This window comes from Homo sapiens, chromosome 19 (genome assembly GCF_000001405.40).
Source record: "Homo sapiens chromosome 19, GRCh38.p14 Primary Assembly".
NCBI classification, from domain to species: Eukaryota; Metazoa; Chordata; class Mammalia; order Primates; family Hominidae; genus Homo; species Homo sapiens.
Window position 1 is genome coordinate 8,490,017 of NC_000019.10, and position 26,012 is coordinate 8,516,028.

Sequence of the window (26,012 nt, forward strand, 5' to 3'; positions counted from 1 at the left end):
TGCCAATCAGGAGGGAAAGAAAAGACAAGAAGCAGGGACTGCTTTAAACTGGGGCTTTATGTGGCCAGGTACAAGCCCAGGCAGCTCTGTGACTTTCCCGCGCCGGGATCCAGGGCTCCTGGGTGAGCGGGCGCTGGGCTGGCTGGCTGTCCTGGCCCCACGCCTACCGGTCTTACCGTCCCAGGGGGAGTGGTTGGTTTTCCAGGGGATCTGCCGAGGAAGCGTGACTTCCATGGACCCCTCTCCCCAGAAGCCCAATAGTGAGCAGCGCCCCCGGGGAATCGCCAGGGTCCCTCCAGCCCTCCCAGAGTGTCCACGTACCGCAGAAGTCGACATCATCGTACACCTCCGTCTCCCTGGCAGAGCACAGTTGGGTCAGCAAGGGGCACCGTGGCCCATTCCCCCCACCCTGCACCACACACCCCGCACTCCCCCACCACGGTCAGGGCTGGCACTCACAGGGGCAGGAGCGCTGTTCTGGGCACGTAGCCATCTGTGGAGAGAGTGGGCATGGTGGGTTCTGAGGCCCAGGGTGGCGGCGGGGACCTCCCGGGGCTGCGGGGCCGGGCGCACTCACATTTGCCTTTGGGGTCCCGGCACAGCATCTCCTCATTGCTGGTGAACTCGATCACCTCCAGGATCTCCCCGCGCCGGATCCCGAGGTGCTTGCCACCCCCGCGACGTGTCTTAGCGTTGGGGTCGATCATCATCTTCGTGTGAACCACGATCTCCCCTTCAAACTGGGGCGCGAGATGTTAGGGCCTCTGCTTGTGCTGCCGCCCTTGGGCCCCTGTCTTCTTTCTGAGCCTGGGATCGGTGGGACCCTGGTCTCCGCCCTGCCAGGACTCCTGCTTAGCTCAGAGGCCTCACCTTGAACTTCTTCCGGAACTCCCTCTCGGCCTTCTCTGCCTTCCTCAGCTGCTTCAGCAACTTTGGGTCCATGGGTGGCAACTGCTGTGGCTGGGGATCCTTCTCCTTCCTGATAGCCCCCACCAAGGAATTGTGTGCTCGTGAGCAAGTTGTGCTCCTCTGGGGGTTCCTGGAGCTCGCCCCCCGTCTGCCCACCCCCTCTGCCCATGGCACCTGAGCGCTGGGTCTTGTGGTGGCCTCCTGGCGGCTTGCTGAACTGAGGGCGCTTCATCTGGGGACAGTCAGGACTCCGAGTCAAGGCAGGGCCCGCCGGCTCAGCCTTTACCCTGGTAGCTGTTTTTTGTTTGTTTTTGTGTTTTTGTTTTGAGACGAAGTCTTGCTCTGTCACCCAGGCTGGAGTGCAATGGCACAATCTCGGCTCACTGCAACCTTCGCCTCCTGGGTTCAAGCGATTCTCCTACCTCAGGCTCCCGAGTAGCTGGGATTACAGGTGTCCATCACCACACCTGGCTGATTTTTGTATTTTTAACACAGACAGGTTTCACCATGTGGGCCAGGCTGGTCTTGAACTCCTGACCTCAGGCAATCCACTCGCCTCGGCCTCCTAAAGTGCTGGGATTACAGGCGTGAGCCACTGCGCCTGGCAGGTGGCTGGATCTTGAGTAAGGCCTCCCTGTGTCAGTTCTGAGGACTCCCCAAATCCCACCAGGTCCCCTCCCAAACCTCTCCCTGCCCACCTTCTTCCGCAAGCCTTTCTCAGGGGTCATGGGTTCTTCTGGATTGCCTTCCATTCCCTTAACTCCTGCCACGTGCTCAGCATGGTGGGAACTGCTGGGCCACGCCCCTCATGGCAGCCCTCTCAGCAACCTTGTTCATGCCAGTAGACGCCACTGTCATGCCCAACTTGTCCACAAGGAAATAAAGGCTCAGAGAGGTCAAGCAAACTGCCCAAGGTCACCCAGCTGGTAAATGGTAAAGGCAGGATTTATCTGTAGGCTTCGAGGCCATTTCACTTCTGCCTCCTAGAGCAAGTTGGGTCTAGGGTTCTTTTTTATTTTTTGAGACGGAGTTTTGCTCTTGTTGCCCAGGCTAGAGTGTGCAATGGCGCGATCTCAGCTCACTGCAACCTCCACCTCCTGGGTTCAAGCGATTCTCCTCCCTCAACCTCCCAAGTAGGTGGGATTACAGGCACATGCCACCACACCCGGCTAATTTTTTTTTTTATTTTTAGTAGAGACGGGTTTCACCATGTTGGCCAGGCTGGTCTCAAACTCCTGACCTCAGGTGATCCACCCGCCTCGGCCTCCCAAAGTGCTGGGATTATAGGCGTGAGCCACCGTGCCTAGCCGTTTTTTTTTTTGTTTCTTTTGTTTTTGTTTTTGTTTTTGAGACGGAGTTTCATTCTTGTTGCCCAGGCTGGAGTGCAATGGCATGATCTCAGCTCACTGCAACCTCTGCCTCCTGGGTTCAAGCGATTCTCCTGCCTCAGCATCCTGAGTAGCTGGGATTATAAGCACCCACTGCCACACCCAGCTGATTTTTGTATTTTTAGTACAGATGAGGTTTCGTCATGTTGGCCAGGCTGGTCTCTAACTCCTGACCTCAGGTGATGCCCCTGCCTCAGCCTCCCAAAGTGCTGGGATTACAGGCCTGAGCCACTGCACCCGGTAGGTTCTGGGGTTCTACTGTAATGAGATTTGGGTGAAAAACTAAGGCAGAAGGGAGGATGAGGAGAGGCTGGCCCATGGGTACAAAGTTACAGTTAGGAAGAAGAAATTGGGTGTTCCATTGCACAGGAGGGCAATGATAGTTGACAGTAAAATATCATGGCCAGGCATGGTGGCTCATGCCTGTCATCCCAGCACTTTGGGAGGCCAAGTCGGGCAGATCACTTGAGGTCAGGAGTTTGACAGCAGCCTGGCCAACATGGTGAAACCCTGTCTCTACTAAAAATACAAAAATTAGACGGGTGTGGTGGTGGGCGCCCATAATGCCAGCTACTCAGGAGGCTGAGGCAGGAGAATCGCCGGAACCTGGGAGCTGGAGGTTGCAGTGAGTCAAGATGGCGCCGCTGCACTCCAGCCTGGGCGACAGACCAGGACCCTGTCTCAAAATAGTAAATAAAAATAATTTTTAAAAGATGCTGCTAGGGTAAGCGTCCTGGACTGGTGACTGATGATGAGACTCTGGACTGAGGGGTCTCCCATGGTGCCAGTCTCCCTGTGCCACTTCCTGGCAAATGACCAGGCTCCCAAGTCAGAGCCCTGCTGGCCAAGGAATTGGCTTCAGGTGGGAGCCCCAGGAACCCTGGTGAGTGAAAGATCCAGAACCCAGAGCCCCAGCATGTCCTTTCCGAATGGCTCAAAGTATCCCGCCGGACATTTCAGGCCTGTAGTCCCTCCAAGCAGCCCAAGGAGCAGCACCTGAATCGTGCCCGCCAGATACCAGGCATGGCCATCCACAGTCTCACCTGGAACACACAGCCCCTCCAGCTGCTCCTGCCTCTCAGAGGCTTCCCTGGCCGTGAGCAGTCACTCCACCAGGAGCGAACCTGACCTTGGCACTCCAGGGTCCCTGCAAACCCGCCACATTAGAGCACCTCTTGGCACCGCCATGCAGGCAGCCCTGGTTCATCCACAGCTGACCCAGAGCAGGCCTCTGCCCGCCTTCCCCGCATGGCCAGCTCAGATCCCTGGGAAAGGCTGGGCTCTCCCCACCTGCAGAGGAGCCCCCTGCCTTCCAGGAACCTCTGCAGTGGAGCTGCCACTGCTCCAAGTAAGGCAGACAGTGGGAAAGGGGAGTCCAGAGTCCTGGCCCCAAGAGACCTAAGCTGCCTTTGAGAAGCTGCACCCACAGTGAGAAGCCCACGCCACTCCTGAGAAGCGGGAGATCCAGGGAAGTGGGACCTTTTTTTTTTTCTTTTTTTCTTGAGACAGGGTCTCGTTCTGTTGCCCAGGCTGGAGTGCAGAGGTGCAATCTCGGCTCATTGCAGCCTCCATCTCCTGGATTCAAGCGATCCTCCCACCTCAGCCTCCCCAGAAGCTGGGACTACAGGTGTGCAACACCATGTCCAACTAATTTTTGTATTTTTAGTAGAGACGGGGTTTCACCATGTTGGCCAGGCTGGTCTCGAACTCCCAACCTCAACTGATCCGCCTGCCTCCACCTCCCAAAGAACTGGGATTTTAGGCATGAGCCACCGCGCCCGGCCCCTTTTTTCTTTTTTCCTATCAGAACCTCAAATGACTGGCAAGGAAGGGGGAGAAGGTTATTTGGTGACAGGAACAATGGGCCAAGGGTGGGGACTGTATGAAGTTTGAGGAGAGGCAGATGCTCCTAGCCTCGGAAGAGGTGGGGGATTCCAGCAGGGCTTCTGGGAGTGGTTGGAGGCAGGCTGTCACTAGCCCAGGCGCTCAGCAGCCCCACTCCTGGCCATCCGCATCCCCAACGGTGGCCCCCAGACCCAAGCCACAGAGCCTCCCCTAGAGCGGAAGCAGAAGGGGCCCCACCAGGAAGCTGTGTGCTCACAGGGAGGTGTTGCAAGAAGCTCAGGGAGAAAGCCCAGGAGAAGCAGAGGGGGCCTCTCTGCCCCAGGCCCTCTGAGGCTGTCAGCGAGAGCAGGAGCACCTTAGAAGCTCAAGCTCTGGCCCCCGCTGAAAGCCCTGCCACAGATCCAGCTCGTGGACCAGCTGTGCAAGCCAGGGCAAGCCCCATCCCAGAGCCTCAACCTTGCGTACCTATTTTTTTTTCTTTTTTTTTTTTTGAGATGGAGTCTCACTCTGTCACCCAGGCTGGAGTGCAATGGCAGGATCTCAGCTTACTGCAACCCCTGCCTCCCAGGTTCAAGCGATTCTCCTGCCTCAGCCTCCCAAGTAGCTGGGATTACAGGCGCCTGCTACCACACCCAGCTAATTTTTTGTATTTTTAGTAGAGACAGGTTTTCACTATGTTGGCCAGGCTGGTCTTGAACTCTTGACATCAGGCAATCCACCCGCCTTGGCCTCCCAAAGTGCTGGGATTACAGGCGTGAGCCACTGCGCCTGGCCTTTTTTTTTTTTTTCAACTGAGACAGACACAGAGTCTCACTCTGTCACCCAGGCTGGAGTGCAGCGGCGCGATGTCAGCTCACTGCAACCTCCACCTCCCGGGTTCAAGGAATTCTCCCACCTCAGCCTTCCGAATAGCTGGGATGACAGGTGCATGCCACCATGCCCGACTCATTTTTTTTTTTGAGATTGAGTCTCACTCTGTCGCCCAAGCTGGAGTCCAATGGCGTGATCTTGGCTCACTGCAACCCTTCCTTCCCAGGTTCACGCGATTCTCCTGCCTCAGCTTCTCTAGTAGCTGGGACTACAGGCACGCACCACCACACCTGGCGAATTTTTGTATTTTTAGTAGAGATGGGGTTTCTCCATGTTGTTCAGGCTGGTCTCGAACTCCTGACCTCAGGTGATCCACCCGCCTCGGCCTCCCAAAGTGCTGGGATTACAGGCGTGAGCCACCACGCCCGGCCCCAGCTAGTTTTTTTATTTTTAGTAGAGATGGGTTTTTGCCATGCGGGCCAGGCTGGTCTGGAACTCCTGACCTCAAGTGATCCGCCCACCGGACCTCCCAAACTGCTGGGATGACAGGTGTGAGCTGCCACGCCGGGCCAGCCTTGTGCATCTGTAAAATGGGGGTGCATTGCCTTACTGCCCTGTGGGGATTTGGGAGTGGAGGGTACGGATTTAGGGACAGGCAGGCAAGGTGCTTGCCTGGAAGCTGCTTGTGTTTTCATGAAGGCATTAACTTTGGAGTGGAGGGTACGGATTTAAGGACGGATTTAAGGACAGATTTAGGGACATGCAGGGAGTGGAGCGTACAGATTTAGGGACAGGCAGGCAAGGTGCTTCCCTGGAAGCTGCTTGTGTTTTCATGAAGGCATTAACTTTGGAGTGGAGGGTACGGATTTAAGGACAGATTTAGGGACATGCAGGGAGTGGAGGGTACAGATTTAGGGACAGGCAGGCAAGGTGCTTGCCTGGAAGCTGCTTGTGTTTTCATGAAGGCATTAACTGTGGAGCTGGGCAGGAGGTGCGGGCCTGCTCCCTATTCACCCAGCACAAACTTCTAAGAAACCTTTGGCAGCCTCCCTCCCCTGCCACTGCCACACCTGCCTGCAGGCCACACCTCCCCCTGAGTTTCAGGCCCAAGTTCTGCCTGGACATCCCCTCAGCTACCTTGAACACAACAGGTCTAAGTAAATCAGGCTGGGCGTGGTGGCTCACGCCTGAAATCTCAGCACTTTGGTAGGCTGAGGTGGGCGGATCACGAGGTCAGGAGTTCAAGGCCAGCCTGGCCAATGTAGTGAAACCCCAGCTCTACTAAAAATACAAAAATTAACTAGGCATGGTGGTGGGCGCCTGTAATCCCAGCTACTTGGGAGGCTGAGGCAGGAGAATCGCTTGAATCCAAGAGGCAGAGGTTGCAGTGAGCTGAGATGGCACCACTACACTCCAGCCTGGGCGATAACAGAGCGAGACTGTGTCTCCAAAAAAATAAAAAATAAAAATATAAGGCCGGGCGCGGTGGCTCATGACTGTAATCCCAGCACTTGTGGAGGCTAAGGTGGGTGGATCGTTTGAGGTCAGGAGCTTGAGACCAGCCTAGCCAACATGGTGAAACCCCATATCTACTAAAAATACAAAAAGTAGCTGGGCTTGGTGGCACGTGCCTGTAATCCCAGCTACTCCAGAGGGTGGGACAGGAGAATCGCTTGAACACGGAAGGCAGAGGTTGCAGTTAGCCAAGATCACGGCACTGCACTCCAGTCTGGGCAACAGAGCGAGCCTCCATCTCAAACAAAAAAACGAATACATAAATAAATAAGGGTCAGGCGTGGTGGCTCACGCCTGTAATCCCAGCACTTTGGGAGGCCAAGGCAGGTGGATCACGAGGTCAGGAGATCGAGACCACGGTGAAACCCCATCTCTACTAAAAATACAAAAAAATTAGCTGGGCGCGGTGGTGGGTGCCTGTAGTCCCAGCTACTGGGGAGGCTGAGGCAGGAGAATGGCATGAACCCGGGAGGCGGAGCTTGCAGTGAGCTGAGATTGCTCCACTGCACTACAGCCTGGGTGACAGAGCGAGACTCCATCTCAAAAAATAAATAAATAAATGAATGGATGGATGGATGGATGGATGAATGAATGGAACCTAACATCTTGTCGTCAACCCAGGGGCGGCTCTGTCATGCCCTTGGGTGCTAGGCTTGAAACTTCCCTGCTTTATATACCACCAAATCCTGCTTTTTTTTTTTTTTTTTTTGAGACAGGGTGTTTGCTGCCCAGGCTGGAGTACAGTGGTGGAGTCACAGCCTCACTGCAGTCTGCAGTCTCGACCTCCTGGACTCAAGCAATCCTCTTGTCTCAGCATCCCAAATAGCTGGGACTACAGATGCTTGTCACACCTGGCTGATTTTTAAGTTTTTTTGTAGAGATGAGGTCTCGCTCTGTGGCCCAGACTGGTCTGGAATCTTGGGCTTACGGGATCCTCCTGTCTTGGCCTCACAAAGCCCTGGGATTGGCTCAAACGATCCTCCTGCCTCGGGCTCCCAAAGCTCTGGGATTACAGGCATGAGCCACTGCACCCGGCCTGATGCCTGCTTTTGATTACTGAATTCACCCACTGCTCCCACATCTCCTGCTGCCAACCTGGGCCACACCTCTGCCTACAACAGCCTTCTCACTGGTCCTTCGCCTCTGGGCTCCCCTTATGTAGTTCCACCCAGCAGGAGCCAGCAGGTCCTAAAATGTTACTTGCTCTTACACCAGGAGCATGGCAGAAAATGGCCTTGCCCCGAATGTTTTGCAGGGACTCGGGCAGGCCACCAACAAACCTCTGCCCTTGGGGCTGGGGCTGGAGTCATCTCTGGGTTCCACATCGTCATACAGCTCGTAGATCTCATCTGGGACCCTGCGGGGATACCTGAGATGAGGCCTCTTCTTTTTTTTTTTTTTTTTTTTTTTTTGAGACGGAGTTTTTCTCTGTTGCCCAGGCTGGAGTGGTGCAGGGGCATGATCTCGGGCTCACTGCAGCCTCCACCTCCCGGGTTCAAGCGATTCTCCTGCCTCAGCCTCCCAAGTAGCTGGGATTACAGGTGCCCCCCACCACACCGGGCTAATTTTTGTATTTTTAGTAGACGGGGTTTCACCACGTTGGCCAGGCTGTTGTCGAACTCCTGACTTCAGGAGATCCGCCCACTTCAGCCTCCCGAAGTTCTGGGAGCTCCAGGCCGAGATGAGGCCTCTTTGAGCCCCACAATCCGCACCCACCTCCGCTTCCTCCCCACACTCACTGCGGGATGTCTTCAGGCTGTCGGTCCTGGAAGTGGAGCCCAGCGGCCGAGCGGGTCCTCCGTAGATCTGTGGGGTAGAGAGTAGGGCAGGGAAGCCGGCACTGCCTGGGACCTCAGCCCCCGCTCCTGCCGGTGCCGCCCGCCCTCACCCACCTATGGATGCTGCAGAGGGTCTCCGAAAGCTCTGCATATCCACGGGCCCCGGGGGCAGCGGGGGCTTGGCTGGAGGGTGTCCCAGGCTGCTGGCAGGGGGCAGAGGCCTCCGCCGGGGTGGATGGCTGGGTCTGAGGCCTGGCCTGGCCCCTCCACTGTGAACCAGGCCTCCTGACCTCCAGCGGGGTGTCCCAGCCGCTCCAAACCCAGGGCTGAGCGGGTGCCGGGAGCTGAAGCCGGCCACGGCCGCAGGCAGTGAGCTCTCGGAAGCGGAGCTGGGGAGTGGAGGCTTTCGAGGGAGATCACCGAAGAACTCAGGCTGCGGGTGTCTCTTGAGGACAGCGCTGGGCTCAGGCTGTGAGAACTTGCGGGGTGGCCCCCGGCGCTCCGGCTGCAGCAGCTTCCTGGGGAGTGAGTTGAACTCGGGCTCTGAGGAGGTCCTGGGGAGGCCGCCCAGCTCGGGCTGCGGGGGCTTCTTGGAGAGCGCTTTGAATTCGGCCGGCCGCGGCCTCTTGGGAAGCACGCTGACTTCGGGCTCTGAGGAGGTCCTGGTGAGGTCCCCAAGCTCAGGCTGCGGAGGCTTCTTGGGAAAGTCACTCAGCGGAGGCTGGGAGGCCTTTTTGGGAAAGGCGCTGGAGTCGCGCTTCGGCTCGCTGGACTGAGGCTTCCAGAGGGGAGTCTGAGCGGCCTCGCTGAACTCAGGCTGCGGCACGGACTTCTTAGGGAGGCCACCGACCTGAGGCTGCGGAGGCTTTTTGGGGTACACGTTGAACTCAGGCTGCGCAGGCTTCTTGGGAAAGGTACTCAACTCAGGCTGCGGGGACCTCGGGGTAGCCTCACCGGCCTCGGGTTGCCAGAGCTTCCTGGGGAATGCGCCGGATTTGGGTTCGGAGGGGGGTCTGGCGGGGTGACTGAGTTCGTCGGGCTGCAGGGGTTTCCGGGCCGGCGCACCAGGCTCCGGCAGCGAGGCCTTCAAAGGGGCCTCACCGACCTCAGGCTGCAGGGGCTTCCTTGGAAACGGAGTGGCCCCCAGCTGTGGGAACTTCTTGGAGAGGTCACTCAACTCCAGTTTGGACGGCTTCTTGGGGAGGTCAGTGACCTCAGGCGGCGGGGGCTTCTTGGGGAGGTCAGTGACCTCAGGCGGCGGGGGCTTCTTGGGGAGGTCAGTGACCTCAGGCGGCGGGGGCTTCTTGGGGAGGTCAGTGACCTCAGGCGGCGGGGGCTTCAAGGACACTGCACCAAACTCAGGCAGCGGGGCCTTCTTGGGGTGCTCGCTTAGCTCAGGCTGGGAGAACTTCTTCAGTTTACCAAACTCAGGCTTCGGAGGTTTTTTGGGCAGGTCGCTGGGCTCCGGCTGAGAGGCCTGGAACTTTGCTTTGATGCTCCGGAAGTCCTGATGGCTCTCCTAGGAGACGCAGAGCCAATGAGGCAGGGGCTCAAACACACAGAAGGGGCATGGAAGGATGGGCCTGGGGACCCTCAGGCACAGCCCACAACCACCACCCCTGCGCCCAGGCCCGGTCAGCCCTCAGCTCTTTCCCAGGAGCCCCCATGGATCCTAGGATCCTGGGACCGACACCCCTCCCTACTTCTCCATTTAGTGCTGATTCCACACCCAACCTCCTCTAGCAGCACTGGAGATCCCGACATCCCTCCTGCAGCCTCCAGTCCCACTGCCCTCCCCCCATGGGTGGTACCCCACCCCCCCAGCATCCTTGACCCCCTCATTCTTTCACCCCTCCCACTGCATGTCTCCAGTCTCGTTCCATTGCCCAGGCTGGAGAGCAGTGGTGCAATCATAGCTCACTGCAGCTTGCAACTCCTGGGCTCCAATGATTCCCCCGACCTCGGCCTCCCCAGTAGCTGGGATTACAGGCTTGAGCCGCCGCGCCCAGGCCCCCAGTCCCTTCTGTGCTAATTTCAAAACACATCCGGAATCCAACCACTTCTCACTGCCTTCACCACTGTCACCCCAGGAGGTAGTGGGAGGCAGTGTCTGCCCTCCCCCAACCAATTGCCTGGATTACTCTAACAAGCCCTTCCCTGGGCCTCTGCCTACCCCCTTCCCTGGTCAGTTCCCCCCATGGCAGCTGGAGGGAGAAGCCTGTTGAACCCTGAGTCTGTTTGTGTCCCTCTGCTCAAAACTCGGCAATGCTTCCTCATGTCCCCACAGTTCAAGCTAAATGCCTCATAAAAGCCTGGGCGAACCAGCCTCCCTACCCAGCCACCTTCTCCTCCCTGCACCCTGAACACTTCCCTCCGACCTCGGGGCCTCTGCCCTGTCCCTGACCCAGGACATGTCTCTGCACCACCTGGGTCTCTCCTTTTCCTCCTCCCAGCCTCTGTTCTCATATTTTCTTATTAGAGAGGCCATCCAAGGCCACCCTATTTGTTTATTTTTATTTTTTGAGATGGAGTCTTGCTCTGTCACCCAGACTGGAGTGCAATGGCGCGATCTCGGCTCACTGCAATCTCCACTTCCCAGGTTCAAATGATTCTCGTGCCTCAGCCGCCCAAGTAGCTGGGATTACAGGCACTCGCCACCACACCTGGCTAATTTTTGTATTTTAACTAGAGACAGGGTTTCACCACGTTGGCCAGGCTGGTCTCAAACTCACGACCTCAGGTGATCCACCCTCCACCCGCCTCAGCCTCCCAAAGTGCTGGGATTACAGGTGTGAGCCACCGTGCCCAACCTAGACCACCCTATTTTTCTTTCTTTCTTTTTTTTTTTTTTTTTTGAGACGGAGTCTCACTCTGTCACCCAGGTTGGAATGCAGTGGTGGAATCTCGCCATACTGCAACCTCCGCCTCCTGGGTTCAAGCGATTCTCAGCCTCCTGAGTAGCTGGGATCACAGGTGTCTGCCACGACGCCTGGCTAATTTTTTTTGTATTTTTAATGGAAACAGGGTTTTACCATGTTGGCCAGGCTGGTCTCGAACTCCTGACCTCAAGTGATCCACCCACCTCGGCCTCCCAAAGTGCATGAGCCATCACGCCTGGCCTAGACCACCCTATTTTAAATGGATCACCCCATCCCACTACTGCCCTGCATTCAGCATGCATGATTTTCTCCATCGTACCCACCCCTACGTATTATACTATTTTACATTGTTTTTAATGTGTCTTGATTTTTTTTTTTTTTTTTTTTTGTCTCTCTACACCACAACTTCCCTCAGTTCCTCAGCCTCTGCAAGGCAGAGACTTGGCTCATTCATTGCTGTCTTCCCAGGGCCTGGAACATGGTAGGTGCTCAGTAAATATTTGCTGAAATAAACAATATTCAGGCAGCACAAAGACAGCCATGTACTCAGCCTGACCATCAGGAAAACACAGAGATGCCTGGAGACGGCCATGCGGTCCCTCTCACACCGTCTCTGACATGCGGGCTGATGGTCAGGAATGCTCACAGTTGACAGTGCCTGAGAGGATTGGTGCAGACACCGTGGGCACAGGCGCTGTCTCCTGCATACCCAGCTGTCCCAGCTGCCCTCCTAGCTGGCCCTGCAACCACTCCTCACAGAGGTAGGCAGATTCACAAGAAGGCCAGGCCTCCTTAGTCCTACAAACGCCCCTTTCACCTGTGGTCAAGGAGATTGGGGGAGGGAAAGGGCAGAAACGTGTGGCCTTTGCTTCCTGCGTGTGCCTCACTTTCCCCATCCAGAGGACCAGAGACCAGGATTGCTCCTTGGAAAGGCAGCAATTCCCACCTGGGGCCTGAAGTGCCCCTGTCAAAGCCCCGAGTGGTTTGAAGGAAGTGCTCCCGGGCGACCACAGGGCTAGATAAGTCAGGGTTAGCAGGTCACAACTTGGGTGACTGGACGGGGGAGGGTCATGACCCACTTTGTCACCCCGCAGGAAAGCACTGCTCTCACCCCAGCAGCCCGTTCCCACATGGCTGCTCATGTTGACCTGGGGAGACGGGAGTTGTCCCCCCGGGGAGTCCCATCTGTCCCCCTCGCAGTCCCAACCTGAGCGTGAACCCCCAGGAGCCCGCGCTGTCCTGGGGTGTGCCTGGTGGCCGCCTACCTCGGGTCCTTTTTGCCGACCCTTCCCGTTTCCCAGATGTCTTTCGCAGCCACCCCCCGCCCCCCCGCCCGCCCCTCCACAGGTGGATCCTATCCTTCTGGGAACATCTGTGTCCCTTGCTTCCCAGCCAGTGAGGCACAGGCCTCTTCCAGCACTCACCATGGCTGCAGGCAGGTGATGGGCCATGGGATGAGTGGGACCCGAGCTGGGGCCGCTGCCTTCAGGAAGTGACTGTGGCTTCTGCTCCACGGTCAGCACACAGGGTGGGGGCTGCTAGAGGTGGGGCGGGGGAGGGCAGAGGAGGAAGGGAAGGAGGTGGGGAGGCTCCAGTCCGTCTCCAGATCCTGCCAGCCACTTCTTTTTTTTTGAGACTGAGTCTTGCTCTGTCGCCCAGGCTGGAGTGCCATGGTGCCATCTCGGCTCACTGCAACCTCTGCCTCCCGGGTTCAGGCAATTCTTTTGCATCAACCTCCTGAGTAGCTGGGATTACAGGCGCGCACCACCGCTCCTGGCTACTTTTCGTATCTTTAGTAGAGAAGGGGTTTCACCATGTTGGGCAGGCTGGTCTCAAACTCCTGACCTCAAGGGATCGGTCCGCCTCGGCCTACCAAAGTGCTGGGATTACAGGTGTGAGCCACTGCCCCGGCCCCTGCTGGGCACTTCTATTTCGCTTGAATTCCTGTCCTGCCTGCTACTGTCCCAAGCTTGGGGCACTGGTTGCCCGCATGTTCCTAACATGGTCACTAGTTTCTTTCTTTTTTTTTTTTTTTTTTTTTTTTTTGAGACGGGGTATCACTTTGTTGCCCAGGCTGGAGTGTAGTGGCGCAATCTCGACTCACTGCAACCTCCGCCTCCCAGGTTCAAGCGATTGTCCTGCCTCAGTCTCCTGAGTAGCTGGAATTACATGCATGTGCCACCACTGCCGGCTAATTTTTTGTATTTTTAGTAGAGACGGGGTTTCACCATGTTGGTCAGGCTGGTCTCAAACTCCCAACCTCAGATGATCTGCCCGCCTCGGCCTCCCAAAGTGCTGGGACTACAGGCGTGAGCAACCACGCCTGGCCAACTAGTTTCTTACTCTCTATAGTCCCCATCATTCCTACTACTTTGGTGTCCCCATCTCTGGACTCCAGGGAGGACTCCATGCCAGGCCCTGGTGACCTCCTGGGCTAGAGAGCCACAGGATGGGGAGATCTCAGCAGATCAGGGGTACGGACAGCTCTGGGGTTTAGGAGGCTCCTGGGGAGGCCCAGAGGCCCAGGACGTGGGGGCCCATGTGACCGGGTGAGGCCTCTGCTGTCTGCCCTGGTTGGCTCATCCGCCTTCCTCATTTCAACACTTCCATGAAATCCAATTCCCGGCTCTGAGCAGGACTCACTTGTTCTGGGGCAGATATCACAGGCCATGGATGTCCCAGGCTGCCGCCCTGGGCAGAAAGCTTAGCTGGTACAGCAGATTTGGGGGTCGGTGGGTGAGTGGTGTCAAAGGCCTTGCACCTGGGCCACGCACGGTGGCTCACGCCTGTAATCCTAACACTTTGGGAGGCTGAGGCAGGAGGATCACTTGAGCCCAGGAGTTCAAGACCAGCTTGGGCAATGTAGCAAGACTCCATCTCTACAAAAAATATAAAATTAGCCAGGTGTGATGGTGCACGCCTGTGGTCCCAGCTGCTTGGGAGGCTGGGGTGGGAGAATCACTTGAACCCTGAAGGCGGAGGTTGCAGAGTCAAGATCACGCCACTGTACTCCATGCTGGGTGACAGAGAGAGACTCCATCTCAAAAAAAAAAAAAAAAAAAGGCTTTGCAGTTCTGGAGGAGTGAGGGGGTCTGAGGACCCGAGGACACACCAGATTCCCAGAGGTTAGAGGTAGTAGAGAGAAGAGGAACCAGGAGACAGAGACAGGGGCCAAGAGGGGGTGAAGGCAGTCACTTGTGGTGCCGAGGACTGGCCAGATAAGGACAAGCCCTGACCACAGAGCTCAGCCCACAGGAGATCAGTAATCTCCGTCACGGTAGACAAAGGGAGAAAACACCTGCTAAGAGAGTAGAGAGCCCTGGTTTTCAGTTTGAGCACATGTTGGAATTGCCTGAACAGTTAAAAAAAAAAAAAAAAGAACCGGCGGTTGGGCAGTGTGGCTCACGCCTGTAATCCCAGCACTTTGGGAGGCTGAGTCGGGTGGATCACCTGAGGTTGATCACCTGAGGTTGGGAGTTCAAGACCAGCCTGGGCAACATGGAGAAACCCCATCTCTACTAAAAATACAAAAATTAGCTCGGCGTGGTGGCGCATGCCTGTAATCTTGGCTACTTGGGAGGCTGAGGCAGGAGAATTGCTTGAACCCAGGAGGCGGAGGTTGCAGTGAGACGAGATGGCTCCACTGCACTCCAGTCTGGGTGACAGAGCAAAACTCCATCTAAAAAAAAACAAAACAAAAAACAGAACCTACAAGAAACTCTGACTTAATCAGTCTGGGGTGTGGCCCGAGCAAGTATTTTTAAAACATTTTAAAATTTTTTTTTTGAGACAAAGTCTTGCTCTGTCTCCCAGGCTGCCTCCCGGCTTCAAGTAGCTGGGATTACAGGTGCCTGCCAACATGCCCGGCTAATTTTCTGGATTTTTAGCAGAGCTGGGGTGTCACCATTGGCCAGGCTGGTCTCAAACTCCTGACCTCAAGCAATCTACCCACGTGGGCCTCCCAAAGTGCTGGGATTACAGGCCTTAGTCACTGCGCCTGGCCTGCCTGTTTTCACGCCTCCTTTAAGAGCACAGACATCAGGATTCTGCCATCTCTGTTGTGCCTTTGCATCCTGTCCTGGGGCACAGTTCCCAGATGTGGGTTGCCCTCCCAAAAAGGAGTCTCGGGAGGACAGTATGGGCTCTCTGTGGGTCTCCAGAACCTTGGCAAGTGAAGGAAAGAATGAAAGAAAGAACAAGTGGCCAGGCGCGGTGGCTGACGCCTGTAATCCCAGAAGTTTGGGAGGCCAGGCGGGCGTATCACCTGAGGTCAGGAGTTCGAGAGCAGCCTGGCCAACATGATGAAACCCTGTCTCTACTAAAAATACTGTTTGTGCACACCTGTAATCCCAGGTACCTGGGAGGCTGAGGCGGGAGAATCGCTTGAACCCGGGAGGCGGAGGTTGCAGTGAGCTGAGATTGCGCCATTGCACTCCAACCTGGGTGACAAGGCGAGACACCGTCTCAAAAAAAAAAAAATTAAATTAAATAATAAAAATAAGTAAATAAATAAATCAAGCAATGCTTGGCCACAGTAAGGAGCTCAATCAAGGTAATTAAAGGATTGGATGACAGCTGATGGATTCCCAGGTGCCTGGGCTGGTCACTACCCGTGCACTCTCGCAGCTAGGAGGGTCCAGCCAGGGCGCGCGCACCAAGGCCCCACGGGGGCGCCGTGGGGGTGAAGCGCAGGTCCCGGAGCTGTAGTCATGGTGCGCCTCCCCGCCAACTACCCTTTGTGTATTTGGCGCCTCCGTAGGGGCTCCCGGCAGGGTTCCGCGCGGCGCGGCTGCAGACAGGGACAGATAGGGTTACCGGAATCCCGGAGAAGGGAGCCCGGACCAGGGGAGTGAGAGTTCGTTAGGGCGCGCCTTGGGGAATCTGCGGGGTCGGAAACGCGAACAACGGTGTGCAGGGGGAGGAGCCCGGGGAGCACGTGGGCGGCGGATCCCAGGGCCGCAGGGCGCCCTCCACCTCCCCGCTCCTGGCCCGCAATGAGGGTAACCGGACCGGCACCTGCAAGTGACAGCTGGGGCTGGACAAATGCCGGGCACGGGCCTCTGGCCGGCCTCAGAGCTGTTCAGCGCGAGCCCGCGGCTTCCAGCCAACCTGCCCGCTATCCCCACTGCTCTCCCGGCTTTCATTCCCCCGAGTCTGAGATTCCTGGGCGCCCCCTGCTGGGCGGAGCCGGGGCCCAAGAGGGCTGGGCTCCTGTGCATGGGGGTTGGGGGCCGGCTTGAGGGTAGGAGGTCGTTTCTGCAGTGGACAGGGTGAACGGTGGAGGACAGGTGGTGAGCCAGCTCCCCAGGCCTCGCGGCAGTCAGTTCACTCCAGAGGGTAGTGTGGTGGCCGTGGGCCCGCTGTACACACAGGAAGGGCTGTCCCATCTCCGTGGGTGATGGGGTAGGGGAGAGGTCCCTGGACGGACGTGTTGGCTCTAGGTTTCTCTGGAAAGATACTGACAGACTGGGAAGAGGCGTGGCCTAGATCTGGGGGTGGCCGAATAAAGAAACTGATGGGGACAAAGACTCCTGGGGGCCCCCGGGACCCTGGAGAGGGGTTAGGGGCCTGGGGGACAGAGAACACAGCGCTGTCCCTGGAGATGGGGGAGAGGCTTGGACTACAGCCAGATCTAGGGACCTGCAGAATGCGGGAACAGGGGCGTGTCCTCTGGACCTGCTGGCAGGGTTTTCTCTTCTCGTGGTAACCGTGCGCAGCTCCCAAGATGGTGCAGAATCAGTGCCGCTGACTGGGAACTGGGGCTGGCTAGAGGCCTCCTAGCCTCACCTTCTCTATATATCTGTAAAATGGGCCCCTTCACCCTGTCCCACCCTCCTCCCCAGGTCGAGAGAGTCCCAGGCAGCCATGGGCTCGGGACGTGAAGTTCTCAGCAGACATTTCCCAAGCCCCTCCTCTCCCTGCAGCCTCTCTTTTCATCCTCGCGTCCACCCCAAAGGACTCACCAGTCATCATGACACCCTTTTAAGGACGAGGGAATTGGGAGGCAGGGAAGTCGACTCTTTTCCAGGGTCCCACAGTGGTGGTTTCAAGGCTTCTGGCTGAGAAGGGGGAGCTTAGGGGGCCTCCTGATGGCCTGTCCTACCCCATCCTGACAACCACCTCAGCTGGGGCCTACAGGTTCTGGGAGAGTGGACACCCAGCCCAAGCCACGTCAGCTGAGGCTGCTGCCCCGTCACATCACAGCCCCATCAAGGACAGAGCAGTCTTCAGGCCCCTGGTGAGGCGGTGGGCAGTGGGGCAGACAGACGGGTCCCAAGGGCCTGAGGATCCCCTCCTGCCCCTTGCAGTGGCTGAAGGGCTTCTGGAGCCCAGAGCTGTCCATCTTTGAGGTGACATGGCACTGAGCAGGTGTGGGGCAGGTGGCCCTTGGCTTGTCTACCTGGATGGCTTTGACTCAGAGCCTGAGGTGGACACGTTGGTGGATGAAAAGTCCAAGGAAGATAGGTGCGGTGGATCACGCCTGTAATCCCAGCACTTTGGGAGGCCGAGGCGGGCGGATCATGAGGTCAAGAGTTCGAGACCAGCCTCGCCAACATGCTGAAACCCCATCTCTACTAAAAATACAAAAAATTAGCCAGGCATGGTGGAGGGCACCTGTAATCCCAGCTACTTGGGAGGCTCAGGCAGGAGAATGGTGTGAACCTGGGAGGCGGAGGCTGCAGTGAGCTGAGATGGTGCCACTGCACTCCAGCCTGGGTGACAGTGCGAGACTCCATCTTCCAAAAAAAAAAAAAAAAAAAAAATCTGAGGAAGACAACAAGGAGGGTGGCGGGGGGCAAGGAGAAGGTGGGAGGGCAGTGACGGAGGAGTGGGGTCTGGGGGCCCCGCCCAGGGGTTACTGGTGTCTCGGCTGCAGATACCAGGATGAGGAGGTGAGGGGGAACCCCGAAGTGGATTCAGAGAATGGAGAAAGGAGGAGGAGGTAAGGATTGAGACAAGGTGGACTGCGTGAAGGAGGTCCCTGGGTTCTTGCTCACAGGATGTCTGTATATCCAGGAGGATGAGGGAGACAGTGAGTGTTGTTCTGGGAGGGGACCGAGAGGTTCAAGGTAGGGCCTTGTGGGCTACTGGGAGAACAGGATCTTCATCCAGAGGGCCATGGGAAGCCACTGAAGGGTGCCGGGCAGGAGAGGGGAACAATCAGAAGAGACCCTGGCAGGGCGTGGTGGCTCACACTTGTAATCCCAGTACTTTGGGAGGCCAAGGTGGGTCGATCACCTGAGGTCAGGAGTTCGAGACCAGCCTGACCAACATGTTGAAACCTCATCGCTACTAAAAATACAAAAAGTTAGCCGGGGTGGTGGCAGGCGCCTGTAATCCCAGCTACTTGGAGGCTGAGGCAGGAGAATCATGTGAACCCAGAAGGCGGAGGTTGCAGTGAGAGCTGAGAGTGTACCATTGCACTCCAGCCTGGCACTGCCATTGCACTCCGGCGAGACTCTGTCTCCAAAAAAAAAAAAATAAATAAAATAAAAAGAGGAAGAAGAGACTGTTTTCTGTTTTCAGTCTTGGGGTAAGGGCAGGTTGGGGAGAGTAGGGGGTGGGCTAGGGGACCCTGGGGCTGGCGAGATGAGGATAGAAGGGAGAGGGATCATGGAGGTAAAACCAGCTTCCAAGGGATGGCTGTGGATATCACCTGGGACTTCCATACCTGGGAGGCTGGCTTCAGGGGTGAGGAGAAAGACCAGGCCATGGAGGGCTGGCCTTGACCCACCCCACTCCTCAGAGCTGGGACATGGTGGAAATTGGTCTGGCAGACAGCAAGGAGGATGAAGACCTGAGTCCCCAGCCTGCCTCCCCAATCCCAAAGGATTCTTCCCCTTAAGTCAGTATGGGGTTCAGGGTCTGGGGGTCTTCAGGCCATCCTGGCCAGTCCCTGCACTTTCTCAGGACCAGCCTTCCAGCCTGTCCCCGAAGCTCCTGGGATTTTTTCTTTTTTTGTCTCCCAGGCTGGGGTTGCAATGGTGTGATGATGGCTCACTGCAGCCTTGAACTGCTGTGCTCGTGATCCTCCTGCCTCAGCCTCCCAGGTAGCCACCACGGCTATTTTTTTTTTTTTTTTTTTTTAAGACAGAGTTTCACTCTATCACCCAGGCTGGAGTGCAGGGTCTTGATCTCGGCTCACTGCAACCTCCATCCCACCGGGTTCAAGCGATTCTCCTGCCTCAGGCTCCCGAGTAGCTGGGATTATAGGTGCCCACCACCATGCCCGACTAATTTTCATATTTTTAGTAGAGATGGGGTTTCACCATGTTGGCCAGGCTAGTCTCCAACTCCTGACCTCAAGTGATCCACCCACTTCGGCCTCCCAAAGTGCTAGGATTACAAGCATGAGCCACCATGCCCAGCCATGCCTGATTATTTTTTGTATTTTTTTTGGTGGGCGGGGAGGTAGAGATGCGATCTTGCTAGGTTGCCCAAGCTGGTCTCGAACTCCTGGCCTGAGGCGCCCCTCCTGCCTCAGCTTCCTAAAGCACTGAGACTGCAGACATTAGTCACCTCTCCTGGTTACGGGATTGCTTTTTAATTTTCTTTATTTTTGAGATGGAGTTCCACTCGTATTGCCCAGACTGGAGTGCAATAGCACAATCTCAGCTCACTGCAACTTCCACCTCCCAGGTTCAAGTGATTCTCCTGCCTCAGCCTCCCAAGTAGCTGGGACTACAGGTGTGCGCCACCACACCTGGCTAATTTTTTGTGTTTAGTAGAGATGGGGTTTTACCATGTAAGTCAGGCTGGTCTCGAACTCCTGACCTCAGGTGCTCCACCTGCCCCAGCCTCCCAAAGTGCTGGGATTACAGGCGTGAGCCACTGTGCCCGGCCGGGACTTCTTAAAAGAAAACTGGAGACCGGGCGTGGTGGCTCACGCCTGTAATTCCAGCACTTTGGGAGTCTAAGGCGGGCGGATCATGAGGTCAGGAGATCGAGACCATCCTGGCTAACGCGGTGAAACTCCATCTCTATTAAAAATACAAAAAATTAGCCGGGCATAGTGGTGGGCACCTGTAATCCCAGCTACTTGGGAGGCTGAAGCAGGAGAATGGCGTGAACCCAGGAGGTGGAGCTTGCAGTGAGAGGAGATTGTGCCACTGCACTCCGGCCTGGGAGACAGAGCAAGACTGTCTCAAAAAAGAAAAAAAAAAAAAGAAAAAAAAAAAAAAAGAAAACTGGAGAGTCCCCATCCCATTTGGTTTCTGGACAAGGGAGAACGCTGCCACAGTGGGTACTGGGGACCTCAACCACAGCTGGAGGTGGGGACCTGGGTCCCAGGATTGGGGTGATGGGAAGACAGGACACAGGTGGGCTGTGAGGCCTGCACCTGTGGACCCAGGTGGTCCTCCCAAGATGTGATCAATCCATGACTGCTGGGCTCGAGCCCACTATGCTTTGGATGGACAAGGGATGGGAACACAGCATAGGCTGGCTCATGGCGCCTTCTTTATTGTCCACCCCAGCCCCCCTTCCCTGCAGCCCCCTCCAAATGACAAAACTACCCACATCCCATGGCCCACCCCCAAAGCGGCGGGATTCAGAGCTGCGAGAACACTGGAAGCTCCCCCTCTGACAGCAGCGGCGACACCTTGGGTGCAAGCGGGGCCGGATCTGGGTGGGGCAGAGGAGGGGGGCGCCTGAGCCTCAGCGCCTTGGGCCCCCGCCCCCCTCTCCACCCGCGCATTCCTCGGCCTTACCCGCGGGGGCGTCGGGGCGCGGCGGCCCGGCCGCGGGGGCCGCGGGGGCGCCGGGGCGGTGGTCCTCCAGGTGCAGGGTCATGGCGGGCCGCGAGGCCGTGGAGAAGGCGCACTGCATGCACGAGTAGCGGCCGCGTGTGTGCTCCCACACGATGCGGCTCGGGGCCGCGTGCCCTGCGGGCAGGCGGGACCCCGTCAGTCCCGGGCTCCCCCAGCCCAGAAGACCCGTGCGCCAAGGATGGAGGACGCCGGCGAGGGTGGGTGGGACTTTTTCCCGCCCCCCATCAGCTTCCGGGCGCCTAGTTCAGTTTCTCCCGGGTCTGTCTGCCCCTAGAGTTGGGGGCACCCAACTTGGCTTCTCCGCGTCCCCTACTATCATCCCCAGATTCACTGTTGGGGAGAAGCCCGCTCCGAGGTGAACGGTGAAAGGGGCGCAAGGTTTATACGGGAACGCCGGCGCAGATGAAGGCGCAGGTGCCAGTCATTTTTAAGGCAAAAATCCTGTATTTCGGGACGGTGGCATTTGTGCCCCCTGGGAAGGGGATGAGCACTGCTGCCTCCTGGTATCCACCAGACCCCGCAGGGCGCAGGAAAGAAAGCCCCTCCACCCCTCCCTGGTGGTCACCTGCACGCACCTGAGGGCGCGTCGGAGCCGCCCTGGGGTCTTCGGGGGCTGCTGCCAGCACCTGCGGTAAAGGGGCGGGTCAAGTTCAGAGTCAGGGCGAGCCCAGCCAGCCCTCCTGGAGGCCCCCGACCCCACACTCACCTTGGCTCTTTTTCCAGACGGCGGCGCTGGAAGCCGGCGGCCCGGGTGCAGCGGCCAGGAAGGGGCGCAGGCGCGGGGGGCTTAGGCCAAAGGGCGCAGGGTTCAAGTAGGGCAGGAACGGTCCGGTGGGGGCAGGGGCGGGGGTCGTGAAGGGTTCCAGCAGCGGGAACGGCAGGCCCGGCGCTGATGCGGGGTCAACCTCCGGGGGGCGCTCCGGCGCGGGCGGCTCTCGGTCCAGGGCCGGGGGTGGCGGCGGGGCTGGGCTCTGCGCATGCTCCGCGCAAACATGCAGGTGCTTGAAGAGCGAGCGGTGCGTGCGGAAGCGCAGGAGGCAGTTCTCACACCTGGAGGTGGGCAGAGGGCTGGGCTGGGCTGGGCCTCCAGGGGCACCAGGGAGAGTGTCCTGTGCAATGCCACCCGCCCTTCGAGCGTGGGAACGGAGCCTGGGCACTAATCACCTCCCCGCTCCTGTACAACTGTGGCAGCGACCCTTCCTGACCACTTCGGGTGGGAACCTGGGGAAACCCGGAAAGAAGTCTCAATTTTAAGTTAGGCGGCCGGTTTTCCACTTGGGAGGTAAAGCCTGGCTGGGTGGGGCCACGCCCACGTATGCCCCGCCCCATCCAGGGAGTTGAGGGCGGGGCTTCCCCAAAGGCCCACCCACATCAAGTCCCGCCCTCCAACACCCTGACCAGGAAGGGAGGAAGGCCTGGAGCCCACACATAGGGTGAGGCTAGGGCAGGGCGGAGCTCAAGAGGTCAGGGTCTCACTTGAAGTAGCGATTGGGTTTGTAGTGCAGTTTGCTGTGAGCCACCAGCTCCTGCATGCTGGGGAAGGTCTCGGTGCAGCTCAGGGCTGAGCAGCGGAAGAGCTTGCCTGGTAGGGATGAAGGACAGAGAAGTGGAGACAGGTGGCCAAGGCTGGCTCCGAGGGGCTCCGCCTGTTTCCCACCCTAACCTGCCTCCCCATTACCAGTCCTGGCCCTACCTTCCAGGGACTGTGTGGGCGGGCAGTGGGTTCGCAGATGCTGTGCCAGGTCACGGACGCTGGGAAAACTGAGGCAGCAGCCAGGGCTGGAGCAAGGGATTTGCTTCCCTGCAGGACGCACAGAACAGTGGTCACTGGTCCCTTCCTCACTAGTGCTGTCCCTGACCCCAGGGTTCTGCCCCAGAGAAGCAAATATGATGTGCTGGGGCCTTTACTCTCTGCCTACCACAACAGACTGGTCTGCCACAGTGCAGGGGCTGGACTGGCCAGGCTCACCATTGGAGCCACAGCCTGGCATCCACCGGCTGCTCCGTAAAATGATGAGTGGCATCCCTCTAGAAAGGCCCTGAGGTTAGAGATTCTCTACGTCTCGCTTCTATTGTTTCAGGGACTGTGATTCCCCAGAAGACCCCATCACAGATCACCTGGAGGTGGGCGTCGTCTGGGAGGCCGCAGGTCCTCGCTGGTCCCGGAGACTATGCTGGTCAGGCCAGGGCTGGGTCCGGGGCCAGGCTGGCAGCTGTCTGGGGCTGGGGAGGAGCCCTGCTGCATCCCTCCAGCCCCTCCACGTTCCCACACTGGCGGTGTGGCTGCCTGCTCAGGGCCTGGCTCCTCCGACATGGAGGAGGAAGGGGCTGCAGCTGGCACAGCCGGGGACAACACCTCCTTGTCGGTCTCACTGGAGCTGGGCTCTGCAGTGGCCAGCATGTCTGGGATGGGCCCTGAGGGTTTCTCCTCCTGGTGGAAGGAAGAGGCGGAGAGAACCCTTCTGGGCTCTGGGTCAACCCAGTCGGCCCCCATCCTAAGGAATCACCAGCAGGAGAGGATAGGGGAATACGTAAGGGTGGACTAAGCTCTTTTTTTCTTTTTATAAAGATGGGGTCTCGCCATGTTGCCCTCACTGGTCTTGAACCCCTGGTCTCAAGTGATCCTCCTGCCTCAGCCTCCCAAAGTGCTGGGATTAGAGTCGTCAGCCACTGCACTGGCCCGGATTGAGCTCCTTATGCATACGGGAGAAACATCTGCTCTCCTCAACTAGGATAGGTGGGAGCCCCAGTATGCACACAAGCGTGGCCTAGAGGGAGTGGGCGGGGCCAAGGCTACGGAGGCGGGGCTATGGGCAGGCATGGACTGGGAAGATGCTAGAGGAGCTAGACATGGATTGTCTGAGGACCGAGACCGGCCGGCCTCGAGCAGTGTGGACAATCTTGGAGGTGCTGGGGGCCCGGATGTAAGAAGTTTAGGGGCGGAGTCCTAGCCTGACGGGCGTGGTCCATTCCGGGCCGGGCCCGGAAGTAGGGCGCTCTCCGAGTGACAGCCAGCGGCGGACGGGTGCCCGGATGTGGGGGCGGGGTCGGCCGGAGGCTGTAGGCGCGACAGGGCCGCTCCCCGCCAGTCCCCGCAGCTCCGCCGCGCCCGCGACCCCGGTGCCGCGCTCACCATCTTCGACACGGCTCGGCCTCTTGTTTCTGCGGCTCCGGCGGCTGCAGCTTAGGCGGCGGCCACCCTCTGGGCAGTGCGAGTTCGCGCTCACGTCAGCGCCATTTTCCACCTCTCAGCTCTCGCGAGACTGGGGGCGGGGCCTGCGCAGGGCGCTCGGAGAGGGGGCGGGGCCTGAGGGCAGAGTCACCCTGGAGCTCAGGTCGGACGCTGGTGCAATCTTGCTATCTATCCCCGGGCAGTCAGCGCGCACTTCAGCAGACTCCGTGCACGGAGATCCGGGATGACCTCGCTGTCCTAGTCTTCAAAGTGGGCACCTTCATCCCTCTAGTCTTGTCCCAAGATCAGCCCTGGACAGGCGATAAACAGCAGTTCTTTCTTTATATTTTTTATTTTTTTTTGAGACAGAGTTTCGCTCTTGTTGCTCAGGCTGGAGTTTAATGGCGCGATCTCGGCTCACTGCAACCTCCGCCTCCTGGGTTCAAGCGATTCTTCTGCCTCAGCCTCCCAAGTGGCTGGGATTACGGGCGCCCACCACCACGTCTGGCTAATTTTTTGTATTTTTAGTAGAGACTGGGTTTTACCATGTTGTCCAGGCTGGTCGTCACCTCCTGACCTCAGGTGATCCACCCGCCTCGGCCTCCCAAAGTACTGGGATTACAGGCGTGAGCCACCGCGCCCGGCCAGTTCTTTATTTTTTATAGTGTTGAGACAGGGTCTTGCTCTGTCGCCCAGGCTGGAGTGCAGTGATGCGATCATAGCTCGCTACAGCCTTGACCTCCTGGGTTCAGGCGATCCTCCCATCTCAGCCTCCCGAGTAGCTGGGATTACTGGCGTGTGCCACCATGCCCAGCTAATTTTTAAATTCTTTTTAGAGACAGGGTCTCTCTGTGTGTTGCCCAGGCCGGTCTCAAACTCCTGGGCTCAAGCGATCCTCCCGCCTTGGCCTCCCAAATGTTAGGATTGCAGGCGTGAGCCACCTCGCCTCCCCTTGCACTCACATTTTAAAATGGGGAAACAGCATCGCTCGAGCCAGGGACGTCGAGGCTGCAGTGAGCGTGATGGCACCACTGCACTCCTGCCTGGTCGAAAAAGCGAGACCCCCATCTCTAAAAGTTAAATAAAAATGGGGAAATAGTAAATCAACAAGTGCAAAAACAATCTTTTGTCCTATTCAGAGCAATGAAGGAAACAATGAAATGTCGAAGTGATGGGTCAGGGAAGCCACTCTGAGGAGGTGACTTCGGAGCTGTCTCCAGATGATCAAGGAGTGAGCTGGTGGAAAGCCCGAGGAGCAGGGGGCTCTACCGGATAGCTGGTGGTGATGTCCTGGAGTGGGGCAGGACGGGCTTATTTTGGTCAAAGAGCAGCGAGGTGGCCAGGGCACCACTGGAGCAGAGTGGAGGCGGGGTGTGGAGGTCAGAAAGCGAATATGGTGCGCGGCAGGTCACGCAGGGCCATGGGAGTGGTGCAGAGAGAGGAGTGTGGTTTATGTTGTAACCACTGATGAATTTTTAGCAGGGGGAGGCGCATCATCTGATTCCTGGCAGTCACTTGGAGTAGGATGGGCTGTTGAGAGGGCGGTAAGGTAGATCTAACATCTTAGATCTCTCTGCTGCCATATCATCTAAGATGAGATCATCTTAGATCTCATCATGCTGCCATTCAAGAGGTATTCGTTGAGTTCTAGGCAACTGTAGGGTTTTTTTTGTTTTGTTTTGTTTTTTTTGGACGACATCTTGCACTGCACCCAGGCTGGAGTGCAGTGGCGCGATCTCAGCTCACTGCAACCTCCGCCTCCTGGGTTCAAGCGATTCTCCTGCCTCAGCCTCCCAAGTAACAGGGATTACAGGCATGTGCCACCATGCCAGGCTAATTTTGTATTTTCAGTAGAGATGGGGTTTCTCCATGTTGGTCAGGCTGGTCTCAACTCCCGACCTCAGGTGATCCGCCTGCCTCAGCCTCCCAAAGTGTTGGGATTACAG

General features: G+C 57.6%; 2 protein-coding genes across 6 annotated transcripts, besides 9 other annotated features; both read right to left on the reverse strand.

Moving 5' to 3' along the window:
* PRAM1 (PML-RARA regulated adaptor molecule 1) lies at positions 40–12,624 on the reverse strand. 4 transcript variants are annotated; one of them, NM_032152.5, is made up of 10 exons: positions 12,549–12,624; positions 8,360–9,764; positions 8,207–8,273; positions 7,748–7,824; positions 1,084–1,141; positions 871–979; positions 578–740; positions 460–493; positions 322–356; positions 40–210 (listed from the first exon to the last, which is right to left on the reverse strand). In NM_032152.5, the coding sequence occupies exons 1-10, from the start codon at positions 12,573–12,575 to the stop codon at positions 173–175; spliced, it is 2,013 nt and encodes a 670-aa protein (NP_115528.4). In that variant the 5' UTR covers positions 12,576–12,624; the 3' UTR covers positions 40–172. The 4 variants fall into 4 exon arrangements, with proteins under 4 accessions (NP_115528.4, XP_011526655.1, XP_005272559.1 ...); XM_011528353.3 differs by lacking the exon at positions 12,549–12,624 and adding an exon at positions 10,096–10,185; XM_005272502.3 differs by having other exon boundaries at positions 40–356.
* Positions 8,493–9,179: an enhancer, noted in NCBI's record as "H3K27ac-H3K4me1 hESC enhancer chr19:8563393-8564079 (GRCh37/hg19 assembly coordinates)". NCBI's record gives its function as "activates a minimal SCP1, AML or CMV promoter by ChIP-STARR-seq in naive H9 embryonic stem cells {active_cell/tissue: H9 hESC(naive)}" and the evidence as "EXISTENCE:reporter gene assay evidence [ECO:0000049][PMID:30033119]".
* Positions 15,706–15,755: a silencer, noted in NCBI's record as "silent region_10027". NCBI's record gives its function as "represses an Ori minimal core promoter by ATAC-STARR-seq in GM12878 lymphoblastoid cells {active_cell/tissue: GM12878}" and the evidence as "EXISTENCE:reporter gene assay evidence [ECO:0000049][PMID:35858748]".
* Positions 15,776–15,875: a silencer, noted in NCBI's record as "silent region_10028". NCBI's record gives its function as "represses an Ori minimal core promoter by ATAC-STARR-seq in GM12878 lymphoblastoid cells {active_cell/tissue: GM12878}" and the evidence as "EXISTENCE:reporter gene assay evidence [ECO:0000049][PMID:35858748]".
* Positions 15,776–16,289: a biological region, named in NCBI's record as "H3K4me1 hESC enhancer GRCh37_chr19:8570689-8571189".
* Positions 15,789–16,289: an enhancer, noted in NCBI's record as "H3K4me1 hESC enhancer chr19:8570689-8571189 (GRCh37/hg19 assembly coordinates)". NCBI's record gives its function as "activates a minimal SCP1, AML or CMV promoter by ChIP-STARR-seq in naive H9 embryonic stem cells {active_cell/tissue: H9 hESC(naive)}" and the evidence as "EXISTENCE:reporter gene assay evidence [ECO:0000049][PMID:30033119]".
* Positions 15,986–16,245: a silencer, noted in NCBI's record as "silent region_10029". NCBI's record gives its function as "represses an Ori minimal core promoter by ATAC-STARR-seq in GM12878 lymphoblastoid cells {active_cell/tissue: GM12878}" and the evidence as "EXISTENCE:reporter gene assay evidence [ECO:0000049][PMID:35858748]".
* Positions 16,329–16,915: an enhancer, noted in NCBI's record as "H3K4me1 hESC enhancer chr19:8571229-8571815 (GRCh37/hg19 assembly coordinates)". NCBI's record gives its function as "activates a minimal SCP1, AML or CMV promoter by ChIP-STARR-seq in naive H9 embryonic stem cells {active_cell/tissue: H9 hESC(naive)}" and the evidence as "EXISTENCE:reporter gene assay evidence [ECO:0000049][PMID:30033119]".
* Positions 19,662–24,151, reverse strand: ZNF414 (zinc finger protein 414). Of its 2 annotated transcripts, NM_001146175.2 has the most exons (8): positions 24,028–24,151; positions 23,013–23,325; positions 22,588–22,695; positions 22,371–22,476; positions 21,601–21,944; positions 21,470–21,520; positions 20,835–21,008; positions 19,662–20,748 (listed from the first exon to the last, which is right to left on the reverse strand). In NM_001146175.2, the coding sequence occupies exons 1-8, from the start codon at positions 24,028–24,030 to the stop codon at positions 20,675–20,677; spliced, it is 1,173 nt and encodes a 390-aa protein (NP_001139647.1). In that variant the 5' UTR covers positions 24,031–24,151; the 3' UTR covers positions 19,662–20,674. The 2 variants fall into 2 exon arrangements, with proteins under 2 accessions (NP_001139647.1, NP_115746.2); NM_032370.3 differs by lacking the exons at positions 19,662–20,748; positions 20,835–21,008 and having other exon boundaries at positions 21,319–21,520.
* Positions 21,383–22,273: an enhancer, noted in NCBI's record as "H3K27ac-H3K4me1 hESC enhancer chr19:8576283-8577173 (GRCh37/hg19 assembly coordinates)". NCBI's record gives its function as "activates a minimal SCP1, AML or CMV promoter by ChIP-STARR-seq in naive H9 embryonic stem cells {active_cell/tissue: H9 hESC(naive)}" and the evidence as "EXISTENCE:reporter gene assay evidence [ECO:0000049][PMID:30033119]".
* Positions 23,852–24,161: a silencer, noted in NCBI's record as "silent region_10030". NCBI's record gives its function as "represses an Ori minimal core promoter by ATAC-STARR-seq in GM12878 lymphoblastoid cells {active_cell/tissue: GM12878}" and the evidence as "EXISTENCE:reporter gene assay evidence [ECO:0000049][PMID:35858748]".